Here is a 20,726-nt window from a genome sequence, read left to right as displayed (position 1 = left end):
TATCCATCCCCACAACTATCTCTAAAGTCTCAGCTCATATTTCTTTATTCTTAGGAGATTGTGTGAACTCCCAGCTATTTTCCCTGTCTTTGATGTCTTCATTCTACAATCTGTTATCCTCTACCCTTATCAGATCAACCTTACTAAAATCTGCTGTTAGCAAGATATGTTTGATTATTAAAAAGTCAGGAAACAACAGATGCTGGAGAGGATATGGAGAAATAGGAACACTTTTACACTGTTGGTGGGAGTGTAAATTAGTTCAACCACTGTGGAAGACAGTGTGGCGATTCCTCAAGGATCTAGAACCAGAAATGCCATTGACCCAGCAATCCCATTACTGAGTATATACCCAAAGGATTATAAATCATTCTACTATAAAGAAACATGCACATGTATGTTTATTGTGACACTGTTCACAATAGCAAAGACTTGGAACCAACCCAAATGCCCATCAATGATAGACTGGATAAAGAAAATGTGGCACATATACACCATGGAATACTATGCAACCATAAAAAAGTTCATGTCCTTTGCAGGGACATGGATGAAGCTGGAAACCATCATTCTCAGCAAACTAACACAAGAACAGAAAACCAAACACCACATGTTCTCACTCATAAGTGGGAGTTGAACAATGAGAACAAAGGGACACAGGGAGGGGAACATCACACACCAGGGCCTGTCAGTGGGTGGGGAGCTAGGGAAGGGATAGCATTAGGAGAAATACCTAATGTAGATGACGGGTTGATGGGTGTAGCAAACCACCATGGCACGTGTATACCTATGTAACAAACCTGTTTGTTCTGCACATGTACCCCAGAACTTAAAGTATATATATAAAAAAAAAGAAGGCTTTCACTGGCTCCCTGCTGTCCACCTGACTCCATAGCTTTGCACTTGACACTTTCTACAGTTTGGACAAATTTACTTTTTGAGTCTACCTGCAGATCCTAAGACACATTGATTAAGCTTCCTTGCCTTTACTTGGAATACCTTTTTATTCTTTATTACTCCTGTCAAACTGTCCCCATCCTTCAAGGCCTGCTTTACATGTTAACGTCTTTCAAGATGCTCCACCTTTAGGTTACTCCAGCAGAAATGAGCGTACCATTTTTTCATGCCTATAATAACACTATTTAATCATTCATGTGGAGCTTAACATGAAAGGCAGGTGGGGAGAGAGAGAGAAGTTGCCTCTACTCTGTTGTATGTTTCTTTGGGTCAGGAAAAAATATTTTATAATATTCCACACCACACAGCATAGGGTCTTGCATAATAGAGTTGGTGCTCAACAAATATTGATTGAATTGAATTAAAGGGGATTGAATGCTACTTTTTGAAAAGAGGTATCAATCAGAATAAATAATGTTCTAGGATAACTTATTTTGGGTAAGTGTGTTGAGGAGTTTAACTCTTAGACTATGAGTTAAAAATGCATACTTCTTCTTATGATACAGGTAGATCCCAATATTGTCCTTCATGCCTCTGTTTCCATTGGAAAGTGGAGTTTCTCAGGCAGTGAAGCAAGCAGCAGGAGTCAAATAGCGCCATCGATCCTGTGGCCTGTAGCCAGTGTGTGGCTGATCACCAAGGTACCTAAGAGTGTCTGCTTTTGCTGAGTGACCTCCCCTTGCTTGCTGGCTCACGGCACTTGCTGGCACCTGGTGCTCTCATGCACATGGGCATACAAGTGAAAGCGTGATAAATTGTTGGCTGTTATAGATGCCATCTCTGCCGTTGGTATTGCCTAGCCCACGGGACTTCTGTAGATTCTCAAATGAGCATTCAGTTCACTATCAGACATGCTGCTGATTAGTTTATACCTCACAGTGTATTTAAACCAAGCATAGAATTTGTTTGTAGTCCACAGACTCATCATTTTCATGAGATTTGTCTGAATGTGCTTCTACTCCTAGATCTTCATTTTGAGTTTTACCCCTCAGCTTTCCTGAGCCTGGTAGATTACCAACATATACCAACTTTGCATATTGTCTTAGCAAGGACGTAGTTTTAAAAGAAATCCCTGAGTATAAACATGAGCAGTGCCTAACACATTTTGTTCCTGTGTGTTGGTAATATTTAATATTTTTCACTTTATTATTGTACTATTGTATATGACTTATAGAAGAACATAAAATTGTCCTTTCCTTTCATCTTACTACTGCAGTACATTTTGTAAATATGTATTTATGTTGAAAAGAGATGATGCAGTTCACAATTATCTTTCCTGTATCTCCCTTTGTCCCGTCATCACAGATGATTTTGCTACTACTTAGCACTCCTGTGAATGCGAAGTCACCCAATGAAGTTTGCTGGGAGGAGGGAAGATTGACACTATTTTCGCAAATGAAATTTTGGATTGCCCTTAGCTATTGTTCTTTAAAAGTTAAAAACAAACATATAGAATAATTAAGACACAAAGGTACTAAGACATATTATTTATTTCATATATCACAGCATAGTAAGTTTACATGAGCTTTTCCTGAAATCTGGATTTCCAGCTGGAGTCTATGTTAACTATTTGCCCTTTTTACATGGTATTTTGTTTCTGATTTAATAATAATAACATCTCCACTTAGTTGAATACTGTATGTCAGACATTACATTAGGTACTTTATTCACATTCATTATTTCATTTAATGTTACAAGAACTGTGCAGATTTTTATTATACAGCTGAAGAAACTGAGGTTAGTAATAGCAGAAGAAAGATTCTTGGTCTCTTTGACTTCAGAACTTTCATTGTGATATAAAACACTCCTCTATATTTGACTCACCTGTGAGCATAATGGAAGTGTTTTAGTCCCAGCACTGCCACTGAATAACTATATGACAGCAGACAAGTCACACATGGTATCTAGGCCTTGGTGTTCTATCAAAAAGAGTTGGACCAGTTGCTATGGAAGGTCCATTCTCAGATCCCATATTCTTTCATTTCATGGTATCTGTTTCTAGAATTTCATGATAGCAGAAAACATGTACTTGTCTAAAATCTCCTCAAAAATAATTGGAATGCCTACCAAAAGAGTATAGTTTTGGAGTTATTAAATAATTGAAATCTCTTGTGTGACATTGGGAAAGTTACTTAGCTGCATTGAACTACTGTTTTCTCTTCTATAAATGATGTTAGTCTTATCTGCTTTGCACAGTTGCTGTGAAGATGAAATGAGAAAGCATATGTGATGTTCAAGCATGGTGTCTGGTATACAGAAAGTGCTTAATAAATGATGGCTGCCTTTCCTCACCCTAAGCAGTTCTTTTTTCTGTATAGACAAGCATGATCAAACAAGGATTTCATTCAGTACTTACTAAAACCAATTTTTTTTAGAAATATTTTTCGTAAGTCATCAGTCATCATCATGTTTCTTTTCCACACTGCAAACACATGAGAAATAAAGTATATGCTAAAAAGGAAACAATTCTGAAAATCCTTTAAGATTGAACTCTCTCTTCCTGTTTTAAAAATACATCTTTTTACCTATTAAGAGAGAATTTTACGTGCCATAAATCTCCAGTAGATGTAGACAAATTTCTCTATGGTTGTCACTTATAAAAAATGTTGTGTTGACTCACTAAGTAAGAAAATGGTTAAATGGCCCTTCAAGCAATATTCCCCTTTAATTTCCTTGGCAGAAAATCCTAACATTTAAAATAAAAGCAGTTCACAAACCACCTTAAAATGTTTAACCCATGATATTTAGACCCAGAGTAAAACTTTAAATTGATACAAAGGTTAAGGATTTGTTTCAGTCTTTTCAGTTCACTGCACTATTTTTTTTCTGTGCATACATATTTCCGGTAAGCTCTGTAGTTATAACTACAGCAAGTGACACGTGATGGACCCCAAATTGCTGCACTGTGAAATATGCACAGAAAAAAAAAGACAAATGAAGATATCAAGGTCTGTTTTATTTCGCACTGAACTGTAAAATGCCACCCTTGTTGGACAGAAGATTACTGATTCTGAGCAGGGCTCGCTGACTGCTAAGTTGTGGGTAGTGTTTCACTTTCAGCAACTGTTAATATCCAGGGTTATCCAGGCATAATGACCTCACTATTTGTGACACATTGTTGAATTTTCTGGTTCTTTTAACTTATTTAGACCTTTCTCCCCCTCTCTATTCATTGGAAGACTGGAATGATCCTGAGCCGAGCGATAACTCAGGGCTGCCTGGCTATTGGTCATCCTATCAGAGTCAAGGCTGCTGAGGGAACATCACTAGAAGGATATAAATTAATCTTACAGAAAAGGTAATGCTTATAAATTATTTAGCTCAAGATAATAAATGCTAATTTCAAGAATTCTGAGCAGTTCAATTGTGATGCCTCCTGGTTTGGATTGAATATTCATTCAATGTTTAAATTTGTGTTCATAATAACAATATTAATTTCTGAATCCAAAGTAAGCTTGAAAATGTATGCCACTTAGTTTGGTAGTGTTTTAAAGATATTTAAAAGGTGAAATGTTGGCCTTCAACATGTATCTATGTCGTAGACAAACTGCTGCTTTACTCTATAATTATCAGAACTCATTTCTTTATATCCATTTTGATTGTTAATTAACAAACTTAAATTTTTGTGTATATTCATAACCTTTTTCCATCTTCTGAATACAAAACATTGAACTGTGAAAGAATAATCACAGAGACCAAAAAATGCTGGCTTGTAACGGACTGTAAGTGTCCTTCTTATTTGTTTTTTTCTGATTTAGGAAGATATAATAAAGGAAAGCAGATTGAGGAAGAAAGTTGATTTATCTCCAAGAGTCTCAAAATATTGTTTTCTAGTCACTTTCTTTTTTCTTGGTCTTTTGTTTTGATGTTTGTTTTCACTTAGTGTTGAAAAAAACAATTTCTATCATACCTCAGGACTTAAAAAGCCATTACCAACTACTTCTGGCTATATAGGCACTTAGGATATGCTTAGGCTGCAATCATCAGAGAAGTTGATCCAGCCATAAATACAGAAGGGAAGTTTTCTCTAACTTGCAAAGCAGATATAAGGATATCATGTAATGATTAAGAATGTGATCTACAGACTCAAATTCCCAGGTATAGATCCAGTCTGCACTGCTTACTCTAACAACAAAGTGTCTAAGCCAGATACTATTCTAATGTCCTTAAATCTCATTGTCAAATTTTATCCTTACAACAATCTGATAGGGTAGGTATCATTATTATCTTTACAGGTGAGGATATTGAGGTACAGAGAAGTTAATCACCTGCTCAAGGCCATACCTACTAAGTGGTTTGGCAGGAAGGCAAACCCAAGCAGTCAGGCCCTATAACCTGAAAGTAGACACTTAGCCACAACACTACACTGTCAGTCAGTTAAAGTCCAGTCAGACAATTGCCAGTGAGCGCCAAGTGTGGTAGCAGATACCTTAGTGGATGAGCAGGGTACATCACTTGAAAAAATCAGGCAGATGGGAAAGGAAGATGTTAGCTTGGTGTTATGCAAACTCTCCAGTGCTAATAGAGTCCTAAATACATAGTTCCTAAGTAGTGGCAGACAACCCTAAAGCAAGTCTCAGTTTGGTATGGAACTGTACGCAGACTGGGTAATAAGATTTCTGAAGCAAAATGAGTTCTGTAAACTAGACTCACATTGAGCATGAACTTGCAATGCCAATGCCAATGCCAATGCGAAACTATGGAACAGGGAGCCAGAGATGCTTCAGCTCATTTAGTCCACAGTTATACTAAAGAGAAAAATCAATCAATTGTAACTGACCCAAAAATGACACAGATGATAGAATTACTGGATGGGACATTAAAGCAGCTGTTTTAACTGTATTCTGTATATTCAAGAAGCTAGAGGAAAGATTGAACATGTTAACTAAATACATGGAAGATATAAAAGAACTCAAATTTCAAGAGATTAAAACTACAATATATGAGACAAAGTATACTAAACATGTCTAATGCCAGATTAGACAATGTGGAAGAAAATAGCAGTGAACTTGAGAAGATAACAAAACTATTCACAAGGAAAACCGGAGAGAAAACAAATACTTCAAAAAAAAAAAAAAGAACGGAGCATCAGTGAGATGTGAGAAAATTTCATATGGCCCAATTTCTGAGTATTTATAGTCTCTGACAGGTTAAAGCAAGGAAAAGAAAAATATTGGAGGAAATAGTGTCTGAACAATTTCTATGTGCAAAATTGAGAGCTATAACCCACTGATCCAAGGAACTCAACAAATTCCAAGCACAAGAAGCATGAAGAGACAAAACCAAGGCACATTATCATAGAATTGTTTAAAATTAGTGATAAAGAGAAAATCTTAAAAGCAGAGAGAACAGGCGTATTATGTACAAGAGGAGCTAAAATAAGGCTGACAGCAGATTTCTTGTTGGTAACAATGGAAGTAAGAAGACAGTGGAAAAACATCTTTAAAATACTAAAAGAGGAGGTGGGGAGGAACCCGTTAATATAGAAAACTTTCCCCAGTGAAAATGTCTTTCAAAAATTAAGGCAATATAAAGACCTTAAGATATTCACAAACTGAAGAACTCATCACCAGCAGATCTTCATGACAAGCAATGTTAGAGGAAGTCCTTCAGACAGAAGTAAAATGATACCAGATGGAAATATAGAGCACTGGCAATGGTGACTATATAGGTAATATAACAATGCTACTAGGCCTGGCATGGTGGCTCATGCCCGTAATTCCAGCATTTTGGGATACTGAGGTGGGCAGATCACTTGAGCCCAGGAATTTGAGACCAGCATGGGTGACATGTGGAATTCCATCTCTACAAAAAATAGAAAAATTAGTCAGGTTCAGTGAAGGTCTACACCTGTAGTTCCAGCTCCTTGGGAGGCTGAGGCAGGAGGTCGAGGCTATAGTGAGCCATGATTGCACCACTACACTCCAACCTGAGTGACAGAGCAAGCCTGTGTGTCAAAAACAAAACACCCCCAAAACCCCACAGTGCTAATTATTTTTGTCTCTTTAAAAAATAATTGATTGTTTAAAGCAATAGTGATAATAATAATATATTGTGGAGATAATATGTAGAAATAAAATGTGTGATGGAAATAACACAAATGCCACTAGGAGAGAAATGGAAGAAAGATTTTTTTATACCATTTGTGAAATGATGTGATATCAAATGAAAGTAGATTATGATAAGTTAAAAATATATAATCACCAAAGCAATCATTAAAATAGTAGAGAGTTATAGCTAACAAGCCAAAAAAGTAAATAAAATGAAATATTAAAAATAATTAATCCAAATCAAGACAAAGAGGAAAAGGGGAACAAAGAACAGAAATAGAAAATAAATAACAAGATGGTAGGCTTAAAGCCACGTGTATCAATAATTGCATTAAATATAAATAATGTAAACACCCCATTTAATAATCAGACATTATTAGATTAGATAAAAAACAACATCCATCTATATGCTACCTATAAGAAATTAACTTTAAATATAAAGAAACAAATATGTTGAAAGTAAATTCATGAAAAATATATACAATGATAAAATTAATACAAAGAAAGTAAGAATGGATATATTAATATCAGATAAAGTAGACGTCAGTAAAAAGAATATTACTAGGGATAAATAGGGCCATTTGATGATTAAGGGGTTAATTTATCACGAGAACATAACGATTCTAATTTTTTAAAAATGGCACAGCTTCAAAATACCTGAAGTGAAAGCTGATAGAATTGCCAGGAAAAAGAGAAACATCTAAAACTCTAGTGAGCAACAATAATACCCTGTTTCATAATTAACAGAACAAGTGAAAAAATCTGTAAGGATATAGATGACTAGAATAACATTACAGACCAACTTTACCTAATTGATATTTATAGAAAAATGCATTCAATAACAGCAGAAGATGCATTTTTTAAAGTACATAGCATGTTAACCAAAATAGTCTATATAATGGCTATGAAACAAGTTTAAATAAGTTTAAGAAAATTCAAGTAATATAGAGTGTGTTCTCTGATGATAATGGAGTTAAACTAAAATATAGTGGCAAGTTTTCTGCAAAACCCCCAGATATTTGAACACATTTATAACAAACCCATGAATCAAAGAAGGCATCAAAATGGAAATTAGCAAGTATTTTGAACTGAATGAAAATGAAAATACAACATATTAAAATTTATGAAACACTGCCGAGGTTTTCAGAGGGAATGTTATATAAATGTCTGTGTAAGAAAAGAAGAAAGATATTAAATCAATGACTTCAGCTTCCACTCTAAGAAACTGTAAGAGCCAATGAAACACAAAGTAAGCAGAAGAAATGGGATAATAAAAGAGTGGAAATCAGTAAAATAGAAAAAAAAGAAAACCAATGAAATTAAAAGCTGGATTTTTTTGAAAAGATTAAAAAAAACTAATAAATCTCTAGTCAGATTGTTCAGATAAAAAGAGAGGACACAAATTACCTGTATCAGCAATGAGAGATATCACGCAGTTATTAAAGGGATGATAAGGGAATATTTTGAACAACCATGTGCCAGTAAATTTGTCATTTAGGTGGTAAAGACCAATTCCCTTAAAAGACACAAATCACCAATGCCTACTCAAGAAAAAATGGGAAACCTGAATAGTCCTACATCTCTTAAAGAAATGGAAAACCTTCCTACAAAGAAAACTCCAGACCCAGATTACTTCACTAGCTTCACTGGGAAATTCTGCAAACATTTTAGGAAAAATAATACCAATTCTACACAATCTTATCCAGAAAAGAAATAAGAAGGAATACTTCCCATCTGATTCTAGGGGGTCAGCATTATCCTGGTCACAAAACTTAGGGAAAAAATCATAGACCAGTATCTCTCATGACTATAAGTGCAAAAAATGATTAACAAAATTTTAGCAAATGGAATACAACAATTTATAAAAAGATGTATCATGAACAAGTGGGGTTTATCCCAGGAGTGCAAGAATAGCTTAAGAATAATTAGCTCTAAATGATCATAGACCTAAATGTAAAACCTAAAACTGTAGGTATCTTAGATAAAAACATAGGAGAAACTATTTGTGACCTTCCATTAGGCAAAACTTTCTCAGATATGACACCAAAAGCATGATCCACAAAAATAAAAATCGACAAGTTACACTTCAACAATATTAAACATTTCTATTCTCTGAAAGACAGTGAATGAAGAGAGAATGAAAAGACAAGCCACACACAAGATGCAAATATTTGCAAGTCATATATATTTGCAAAATACATACACACAATTCAAGAAAACATGGGGATAAATGATTTGGAGAGTTACTTTAACAGGGAAGATATACAATTGGCATATGAAAATATGCTCAACACTATTATTCATTAGGGGAATGCCAAATAAACCTACAATGAAGCATCACTACATATTTGTTAGAATGTCTAATCTTTAAAAGATTGACCATACCAGTATTGGTGAGTATGTGGTACAACTAGAACTCTCATAAGTCGTTGGTGGAAATATAAAGTGGTTTAGTTACTTTGGAAAACAGTTGATACTTTCCTAAAATATTAAGCATCCATCTACCTTATGACCCAGCCATTCTACTCCTAGAAATTTATGCAAAGAAAATGAAAGCATACATTCATACGAAGAATGTATACTTTGTTCATGTATAAATGTTCATAGTGGCCAGGCATAGTGGCTCACACCTGTAATCCCAGAACTTTGGGAGGCTGAGGGAGGAGGGAGGGATTGCTTGAGACCGGGAGTTTGAGACCAGCCTGGGCAACATAGTGAGACCCTGTGTCTACAAAAATTAAAAATTTTTAACTAAAAAATTAAAAATTATCTGAGCATGGTTGTGTGCCCCTGTAGTCTCACCTACTCAGGAGGCTGTGGCAGGAGGATTGTTTGAGCCTGGAAGGTCGATGCAGCAGTGAGCCGTGATTGCACCACTGCACTTCTCCCTGAGTGACAGAGCGAGACCCTGTGTCAATCAATCAATCAATCAATCAATCAATGTTCTTAGCAGCTTTATTTCTAAAAGCCTACAGAAAAAAAAACTAGAAATAACTCAAATGTCCATCCCATCCATAGGTGAACAGATAATCTATACAATAGAATACCCAGCAATAAAAAGGAATAAACTCTTGATATATTCAACAATGTAGATGAATCTCAAAGTAATTACGCTGAAGGAAAGTAGAAAATAAAACAAAAAAAGTACATATTGTTTGATTCAATATATATATAATTTAGAAAATGCTAACTAATGTAGAGTAATGGAAAGCAGATCAGTGGTTGCCTGAAGATAGGATGATGGGGAAGGGACAGGAGGGAGAGATTAAAAAAGGGCATAAATAAACTTTAGGAGTGATTCATTTTGCATGACAGATGTGGATATGTTCATTATCCTGATTGTTGTGTTGCTTGCACAGATGTATATATATTTCAAAACTTACCAAATTTTACCCTTTGAATATGTGCCTACTAATTGTGCAATACTGTATGTCAATTATTTTTCAATAAAGCAGTTTTTTTTAAAAAAAAAAACCTTAAAAACAATTAAGAAAAAATAAAAATGATAAGGAATGACTAAATGGTTACTTTAGAAGGAGACAGTGAGAGAAGGCCTTTCTCAATGGGATAGTTCATCAATGGCCTAGGTCAAAATGGCAGGTGATTGGAAAGTTATAGATAGCTTGATGGGCATACTCTTCATGCCCAGGACTCTCACTAGGCACACCGGATACTGAAAGTACTGCAACATCTCATCAGCTGATCTGGTCTTAGCCCATTGAGGCTAAGCCCATTACCTCAGTGGGCTAAGACCAGATCAGCTGATGAAATATTGAGGTCTACTTCTACTCTGGTCAAGATTGTCATGGAATTGAGTGGGCTGAGGCTGAAGACTCAATGTTCTTATTACCTATAGAGGAGAAAGCTTGGGCAAGAAAAGAGATGTTCATGAAACAAGCAAACAAACAAAAATAAGAAAAGATTTTGTTTAATCTAGAAAAGAAGGAAGGAAGAGAGGGAGGGAAGTACTTAAGTTGAAGGCAAGTTGCATTAATACAAAGGCATATCATCCTAATTGTGTAGGGATCCTCCCTCCTGCTCACCTTTTAACTTGCCTTTATCCAAAAAGCGAAATCCAAGGTGGAGCCAAAATAGGAAATTTAGAAAACTGGAAGTTCTCACTGACTATGAAGTTATACTTCATTTTAGAAAGCAGGAAGGACCAAAATTTTTAGAGTTTACCTCACCTCTGGGTAATTTCAAACACATTTATCTTTTCCAGGACATCTAAAATGACTGTGTGACTTGTTTTTTTTTAAGATAACCATATTTTATTATAAATAACAATAAATATCTTCATGTGACAGCAATTTCTAGAGATAAAAATTTTCTCTTTTTCTAAGTAGTATATAATTTTAACAAAAGCTGTGAATCAAGACATAGCCTTTACATGCTAGAAATAATAGAACTAGTACTTAAAGTAGCAACCTGACAACTCACAAAAGAATATTATAAACATATCATGCCTCATTAGTTCAATTATGTCTCATTTGGTGTTAATAATCTTATTCTTATTCAATATAGCAAGTGCTCGTGTGTATTTTCCCTTTTAATATATATATTTTTCTATCTGTGCATCTGACTGTTAATGGATGAAAGGTAAACCAACAATCTCTTTACCAGGTGACCTAAACCATCTCAAAAATCATTTAAAAATGCTATTTTCCAAAAGATATTTTGGACACCTTACAGATAAACTAGTTGAATCGAAGTTATTTTTCAGAGCACCATTCAATATTGATATTGCTTCATTTTTAAGGATTGCAGATATGCAGGGTATCTGGACTTTAGTGTTCAACTAAAAAACTAACATAACATCAAACACTTGCACACACATGCACGCACAGAGGAAGATTAGATTATAAAGGTTAAAAACTGTTAACCCATGGATTTTGTTTGGCTTGCATGTTATTACAATTTTTGAATTAGTCGTGAGCCTATAGAAATAGGAAGATTTCACACAAAAGTGACATACTTCTGGCTTTTCTTGAAAAAATCTGAAATGGGTTTTCATTTTTTCAGAAAAAATCTGAAATGGCACTGGATCTGAATTCTGTCATGACACCCATCAGGAAGGAACTGAGTGGTGATGTCCCCTTTAGATGGAACATACATCCTCCAGTTTGCCATATTCTCCACCGTTCCCTTTGGCAGCCCTCATGCTGGCTCTCACTGCTTCATGAATTTCTAATACCTGTCTGGCCCATAAAAGCTTTTGAATTTGCAAAAGCCCCTACATGTAAAATCAATGGACTAATGGACCTGCCAAAGGAGACCTCTTTTCTATCTTTAGTCTGTACGTTTCTTAAATCAGAATAAATACAGAACTGAATGTTCTATCTTAAAGATGATCCATAAAAGAAGTTTCAGACTTACATGGAACCCTGTCCAATTTCAAGTAATCTTTACCGTCTTTCATATTTCAAGGTTAATTTTTCAGTTATAGCTTTTTGCATCCATTTTTTTTATTGCCATTTAGGTCTTGCTAAAAATGGAGTGACAACTGGCAAACATTACCGGACTAGGTTAAAAACACACGCTGCTTTAAGGACTCCTTTACATACAATCAGCAAGTGTAGCTGTATAATGTTAAGGAATAGCAGCAGACAGAAGTTGTATTAACACATATAGGTTACACCATTAGAAACGTCAACATCAAATAGAAAGTTGTCCATGTGTAATTTCACACTATGTGGATTACTGAATGAACCTTGTCTTTGTTCTTACTATGTTATGAATTATGGACTGGAAATCACTTTCCCCATCCTCTACGTGCATTCTACTTTTGGCCCGGGTAGCATTGGTAGACACCAGAGCCATTTGAGGCTGTCTGAGAAAAGAAACTTGTGATCCTGAAGCATGATAATAGCCCTCCATATAGTTACCAGGAAATGATGAATGTGTGAGTGTATAAACACATACAAACAGATATATATATATGTGTAAATGTATTACACACATATATATGTGTAAATGTATTATGCACATATATATGTGTAGATGTATTACACACATATATGTGTGTGATGTATAGATATAGATATCTATATCTATATCATATCTGTATCTATATCACATATCGATATAGCTGTATGGGTGATATCTGTATCTATATTACCTATATAGACATTTAACATATGCATGCTTAATAGGGTTACACTACTTAGCAAGCTTCCCAGGGCAGATCATTCTCAGTTCCCTCACTTGTAAAATGAGAACACTTGGAAGTCATATGATTTCAGAGAAGGAAGGATCTGAAGAATGCCTGCTTCAAAATTCTCTTTACTAGTGGTAGTAGAGGTGGTGATAATGGCAGTTGTGATAAGAGTATCATCATTATTAAAAAAAAATTGCAAGGCCACTAGAGACTAAGTGATCTACTAAAGGTCATATGTCTAGTTAACGTTAGATGCAGGACTAGAACTCAAGTCTCTCAACCTTAGTTCAGTGTATGTCATGATATTATGACTGATTCTTGGATGGAATATAGCTCCTCCATTTTCCCTTCCTTTCGTTATTGATGTCGTTGTTATTTTTTGTTTTTAAAAAATCTTTTTAGCTTGGTGCTTTTTGATCAAGAAGAGGAGAGTCTATGATATCATTCTCTAAATCAGTCTCATCTGAGCATCACTGTATGTTGGATCTAAATTTGATTTTTCTGCATATGAAATGTCTTGAAAAATAGGCAGATACACTTTTGTGTGTAGAAATTTTATTTCTTTAAGAAGTTATTGTAAATTAGAATGATACCTTTTCATCCAGCCTAACGTGGCACTTCATGAGAGGTTTGTTTTTTTACAACTTCGGTAAAATTTAGGGACAACATTTATAGATTTAAGTAGACTACCAACAGGAGTGATACTAGTAAGCTCCCAGAGGTTATAGATTATATAAGACTACATGGTTTTAGTAGAATTTTCTAGGAAAAGATATGCCAGAACAGAATTGAAGCTTGATAAAATTTGACAAATGCTAGTAAATTTGCATTTCTTTCAGAATTATTTCTTTTCTTTTCTTTTCTTTTTTTTTTGAGATGGAGTTTCACTCTTGTTGCCCAGGCTGCAGTGCAATGGCATGATCTTGGCTCACCGCAACCTCCGCCTCCTGGGTTCAAGCGATTCTCCTGTCTCAGCCTCCCGAGTAGCTGGGATTGCGGGCATGTGCCACCACACCCGGCTAATTTTTTTGTATTTTTAGTAGAGACGAGGTTTCACCATGTTAGCCAGGATGATCTCAATCTCCTGACCTCGTGATCCACCCGCCTCGGCCTCCCAAAGTGCTGGGATTACAGGCGTGAGCCACCATGCCCGGCCTTATTTCTTTTTTTCTTAACAAATGTGTAATTTATCTTCTTTAGCCATCTATCAAAAAGATCTTTTAAGTTCCCTAAACAGCCATATATTAAATTTAAAACATTTTCAGATGGCTTTATGATTAATTTTTAGGGTAGTAACATTCTGACACTTTATTCACGTTTTTATTTATTCAAAGATAGCTTTAATATCCTGTTACATGCCAGGCCTTGTGATCAGCTCTGAGGATACATGGTCTCTGCCCTCACACAGTTGCCAGCTTGGTGGACATCTTTTCTGTTGTATTAGTTTTGAGAGAAGATGCTGTAAGTTCAGAAAGTCGAAACTCAAATCAGCATAATTCATCATCAAGGCAACACCGTAATTCGATAAAAAGACAAAATTCTGAATTTTACAGATTTGTATGGTTAACATCAGTTTATTAATTGCCAATTGCAGATGTCGTATACTTTGAAAAATTATCATTTGCCATTTCATTTATCTCGAAGAAATATACTCACAATAATTTATGAAACAGGAGAGATTGCTTGTAAGCAATGAAGCTGCATTGAGTTATAGCCCCTACACATTAAAATGATCTAAATTTTATCGCAACCCAACACATTTCTATCAAAGCATTACAGCAATCACTCTTTTTTATTATTTTGAAAAGAGTATACTTCTAAGCTTGGGATTGACAGCTTTAAAGACTAGCAATATTGTTTTTGTTATTTCTTCATTCAGGGTTTGAAATATGAACTTTCTCAGTACCTTAGGAGAATTTGTTATAGTATAAAACTGGTGATTATTTTAATACAGTTGTATAAAAACATTATGATTATATCAATATGTATTAAGTTACTGAGATTGTGTCAAATTATAATTAGTGAGACTAAGATGTTGACTCCATTTTCAGTCTTCCACTTACACAAAATAACTTCCATTATACTTTTCTGATCTAATTGAGATGTTGAGCTTAAGTCAGACATTCTGGGTTCTGGTTCCTATTTGTATAATAACTAGTGCTGTGATTTTGACCAGCTCACTTCATCTCTCTGCATCTCATTTTATTCATCTATAAAATGAGAACTCAACTGGGATAGCCCCTCACTTCCATTCAAATTCTCACAGTCTGTTTTTTCTTGGATAATCATTATTATCATAACCATCATTTTAGTTCTGGACCCCAAGTCAAAATTTAAAAAGCTTCTCTTTTCCTTTATTAATTATAATATAGAAAGATCCTCAGAAAGACAACTTCCCCCAATACCTTCATCACCCCACCTAATGCTGAAGTTGTTTTGAGCAACAATTACATTGTCAAAGCCTTAGAATGGGATCCTTAGCTTAGGGGTCAGTTATACCCTGAAAGATATTTTATTTAATATTAAACACTTTTACATAACTATTAGAACTCTTCTTATTTTTCACATCTCTGCCTGCCTCTGCTCCATTCTCATTTCATTTTCCTTTAATAGTGTCATGTTCCTCTTCTTTTCCCAATTTTGACATCTGAGACTTACCCTTATCTACTCTCTCTAACCTCCACCTCATTTATTCAATCATCAAATCATTTCTCCTTTATAATATTTTTGTAGTTTTCTCTACTTCATACACTTCACTTCTGATATTAGATGTGTTATTTTTTTTTTCACATCAAGCAATTCTTCAGTTCTCAGTGGACACCTGCTGTGTGTCCTACAATTCAATTTAGTTCTGCCACTATCTACCAGGAGTTAGCATTAGATCCCACAAGTTAAGGGCTCAGTCCCACAAGACTGCCTTCACTTAAAACACCAGTCACAAGTCCCAGGTTATCACCTATACTCCTGACCAACCAGCTATATGTCGGGATTCTCATGACCCCCTCGTTGGGTTTGATAATCTGCTAGAATGGCTCACAGAACTCAGAGAAACATTTACTTATGTTTACCAGTTTATTATGAAGGATATGATAAAGGATACACATGAACAGTCAGATGAAGAGGTACACAGGGCAAGGTCTGGAAGTGTCCTGAGGACAGGAGCTTCTGTTCCTGTGGAGTTGGGATGCACCACCCTCCTGGCACATGGATGTGTTCACAAACCTAGAATCTTTCCAAATCCTATATTCTGTTGATTTTTATGGAGGCATGATTGATTATTAACTCATTCTCCAGCTCCTCTTTTCTCCTAAGAGAAGGCACAGGGACACTAAAAGTTCCAGTATTTGAATCATGACTTGGTCTTTCTGGTGACCAGCCCTCATTCAGGAGCCTTCCAAGAATCCCCTCATTAGGACAAAAGATGCTTCTATCACTCAAGGAATGTCAAGGGAGTTAGAAGCTCTGTGCCCAGAACCCAGCACAGAGACAACATGTTTCTTACTATTTCTAAGTTTAAACATTTGATTTTTCATTTCCTCACTGCCCTCATTATTCTAGTACATGGTTTCCAAAGTTTGGCTTATTAACCACACACATAGAAATCCCCAGAATTTTATAATTGGAATAACTTGAAACACCTGTTAATGTATATTTTTTGGGTGGGGGGTGGGTCCACACCTTCAGAATCAAAACCTCTGAGGCTAGGATTCTAGACACCTACATTGTTATTAAGCATCCATTTCAACATGCCTATGAATTCTTCATATTCTTTTACATAACTGGATGTAGGCTAAAGACTAATGTGTACTGAACTAGTTTTGGATGGCTGCCTTTACATACTCTGCCCAGATCACATAGCACCTTGCTTTAGAATAGAATAGAGCATTACCTGACACCTCTTATACTCAACCTTTGATGTTTCTGTCAAAACTCAGAGGCAGTAGGAAAAGTCTTGTTTAACATCCTGTTACACTTAATTTAATTCATTTTTGTTCCACCTTTGTAAGATTTCTAAATATTAATGAATACATGATTAGTTAATTTAGGCATAATTAGCTTCATCACATTTTAGTTTTTTCTTACTCAGACTTAGCTGAGAAAATACAATATTCCCTGACAAAATTCTCTAGCTGTTTCAGAATTAGGCACGTGAGGTTCCTAATTTTCCATGGTATCTTTTTTCATACTATTCTCTTAATCTTTATACTTAATTAAGTCTCTTTCTTTGTCTCATAGAGGATCTTTTTTTGCAGGCAGAACTTTCCATAATATTCTTATTGATTGTATTTGTTCTCTAAAACTTTTGATCACTGTTGCTACTGGTAACACACATATGCACATACTTACCCCGCTTAGGGTACCAGAGCATTGTAGCAGGGAAATTGGTTGTCTTAGGGAAAGCTTTAGCTGCTGAGATAAAAGTGATGGTGGCAGAATCTTTGGTAGAGTGTGGGCAGTCCTCCTGCCAGGCTATCTGGAAAATGATCATTTTATTTAAAACCTACAAGTGTTTCTGTGGAGAGAAGATGTCAATCTCTAAATTACATTTTCGTTACAGACATAGTGGAGATGACTCTCAGAAGTGGGTGTTTGGAACTGATGGTTGCATTTATTCAAAGGTAAGGACTTTATAATCCACAGCTTTTATGCCTAAGTTTTTCTATTCCCAGATTCTTATAAAGGGTACTATCTATTGTTTAGAGCAAGAAATGCTTTTTCTGCATATATGACTTCACTCTGTACCTAGAAATTTAGAATTTAACTTAACTCAATACTTTCCTTTAACTTTTTTTTTTAATTTTAAAACACATTTTCTAAAGTCAAAAATAATTTTTCCTAATTCATTGCTATAATATTACCCAGCATTTTAGGGCATCAGTTTTCTTCTACATTGAAATGAAGAATTTGGTACTTTGGGAAACTATCAGTATCTACTACTGTTGAACATGTCTAGACAACCCAGCAATTCCCCTACTAGTCATATGCCAACAAATGGTCATATGCTTACATATATTAAGGAAACAATAAATTAATAAAATGTTAATAGCAATACTAATTCTAGTAGCTTCAGAGTTATGATTACTCAAATGGATGTCAGCAGTAGAAGGGATAAATACATTGTATTAGACACTGTGTATTCATTGGAATACTATATGGCAGGGTTGGCAAATGTTTTTCTAAAGACCCACACACTGGATAATATGTTAATGGATGGATGTGTCTACATTTCAATAAAACTTTATTTACAGAAACAAGTCAAGGTCTGTTTCTCATTTCTAAGACTTCAACAGAATGGGCTTTACTGTCTATATTTCTACTAATGTTCTCATCCCAACCACTTGAGTAATCTCTAAGAAGCTTTAGAGTTTCCCAAGGTGGCAGACGAGAGGATTCTCCAGCATTCCTCAGCCACCTGGAAGAAGCAAACCAGTGTGTAGAGATTCACACTGTGAAGTTTTATCCAAGAAGGAAAACAAGCTCAACAGACAAGCAAAAGAAAACGTAGATGCTGGGAAACAGAAGGTGGTCAGGCAGCCTGCTTGGTGGGGTCTAGCTGAAAATGGCAAGTGAATACCCAATATGGGAGAGGGAGAGTGAGTTCCTCTGTGATCTACCTCCTCCTGGGGAATCCAGGACACAGAAGAGCACCTTGAGCCTCCCAAGCCCTGGATCTCACACTGGGACACTGTGTGAGAAAGAATGACACTGGAAAGTATATCACCCATTTTCCTAGACACGGACACCAATAAGAGGATCTGAAAACCAATACAGAAATCCAAACATAAATCCAGGATTAATGAGAAATTTATCAAGGACATCTGTATCTCCAAACAAACAGCAGTTGGGCATGGTGACTCATACCTGTAATTCTAGCACTTTGGGAAGCCAAGGCAGGATTGCTTGAGCCCAGGAGTTTGAGGCCAGCATGGGCAACATGGCAAGATCCCAGCTCTACAAAATTTAAAAATTAACCAGTCCTGATGGTGCATGCCTGTGATCCCAGCTACTCAGAAGGCTGAGGTGGGAGGATTGCTTGAGTCCAGGAGGTCAAGGCTGCAGTGAGCTGTGTTCATGCCACTGCGCTCCAGCCTGGGTGACAAAGTGAGATCTTGCCTCAAAAAATAAAAATTAAATTAAATTAAATTAAGTAAACAGAACAACTGGAAATAAAATTTTCATTGAAAGAATTATAAAATGCATTTGAGAGCTTCAACAATAGACTAGATCAAGAAGAAGAAAGAATCTCAGAACTTGAACACAGGTCTTTGGAATTAATCCAGTCAAACAAAACTAAAGAAAAAAAAGAATAAAAAAGAATGAATGAGGCCAGGTGCAGTGGCTCACACCTGTACTCCCAGCACTTTGGGAGACTGAGGCAGGTGGATCACCTGAGGTCTGGAGTTTGAGACCAGCCTGACCAACATGGAGAAACCCCGTCTCTACTAAAAATACAAAATTAGCCAGGCGTGGTGGTACATGCCTGTAATCCCAGCTACTGGGGAGGCTGAGGCAGGAGAATCACTTGAACCCGGGAGGCGGAGGTTGTGGTGAGTCAAGATCGCACCATTGCACTCCAGCACTCCAGTATGGGCAACAAGAGCGAAACTCTGTCTCAAAAAAAATAAAAGAATGAATGGGCCAGGCATGGTGGTTCACACCTGTAATCTGAGCACTTTGAGAGTCCCCCACAGGGGGCTAATGTCTAGAATTTACAAGGAACTCAGCAGCAGCATAAGCCAAAACAGATAACTCCATTAAAAAGTGGGCGAAGGACGTGATAGACATTTTTCAAAAGAAGACATACAAATGGCCAACAAGGGTATAAAAAATGCTTAACATCACTAATCATCAGAGAACTGCAAAATTAAAACAAGATACTTGTTACACTAGTTAGAATGGCTGTTATGAAGAAGACAAAAATAACAGATATTGACTAGGATGCAAAGAAAAGGGATCACTTATACATTCTTGGTGGAAATGTAAATTATTATAGTGCAACCTGTATAGAAAGCAATATGGAGATTTCTCAGAGAACTTAAGATAGAACTACCATTTCATCCGGCAATCCCACTACTGGATATCTACCCAAAGGAAAAGAAATCATTATATCAAAAAGGTACATGCACTCATATGTTTATCATAGTACTATTCACAATAGCAAAGATAGGGAATCAACCTAAAGTTCTATCAGTGAACAAATAGACAAGAAAATGTGGTATATATACAGTGGAATATTATTCAGCTGTTAAAAAGAATGAAATAATATATTTTGCTGCAACATGGATGCAACTGACAGAGACCATTAAGTGATACAACTCAGAAAAAGAAAGACAAAACCCATATGTTCTCACTTATAGGTGGAAGCTAAATAATGTGTACACATGGACATAGAGTGTAGAATGATAGATATTGGAGACTCAGAAGGGTGAGAGGATGGATAATGAGAAATTACTTAATGGATGCAATATATATCATTCAAGTGATGGATGCACTAAAAGCCCAGACTCCACCACTATGTAATATAGCCATGTAACAAAATTGCACTTGTGCTTCTTAAATGTATA

The 20,726-nt window shown here is 35.8% G+C and overlaps 1 protein-coding gene across 18 annotated transcripts in view; it reads left to right on the top strand.

Moving 5' to 3' along the window:
* DCDC1 (doublecortin domain containing 1) overlaps positions 1-20,726 on the top strand; it is a 506,137-nt gene that overhangs the window by 274,095 nt on the left and 211,316 nt on the right. For 17 of the 18 annotated variants that reach the window (NR_170625.1, XR_002957144.2, XM_024448478.2 and 14 more), the window contains 3 exons: positions 1,461-1,595; positions 4,134-4,252; positions 17,720-17,780. Coding sequence is in view for 16 of the 18 variants with exons in the window: in XM_024448478.2 (XP_024304246.1) it covers positions 1,461-1,595; positions 4,134-4,252; positions 17,720-17,780 (315 nt within the window). In the remaining 2 variants the exon portion in view is untranslated. The remainder of the gene's footprint in view (positions 1-1,460; positions 1,596-4,133; positions 4,253-17,719; positions 17,781-20,726) is intronic. The other variant, XM_024448476.2, reaches the window with a different exon arrangement.

The sequence above is a fragment of the Homo sapiens genome, chromosome 11 (genome assembly GCF_000001405.40).
Source record: "Homo sapiens chromosome 11, GRCh38.p14 Primary Assembly".
In the NCBI taxonomy this organism is placed as follows: Eukaryota; Metazoa; Chordata; class Mammalia; order Primates; family Hominidae; genus Homo; species Homo sapiens.
The sequence above is the reverse complement of the archived record's forward strand: the minus strand, read 5'-3'. Positions and strand labels throughout refer to the sequence as shown.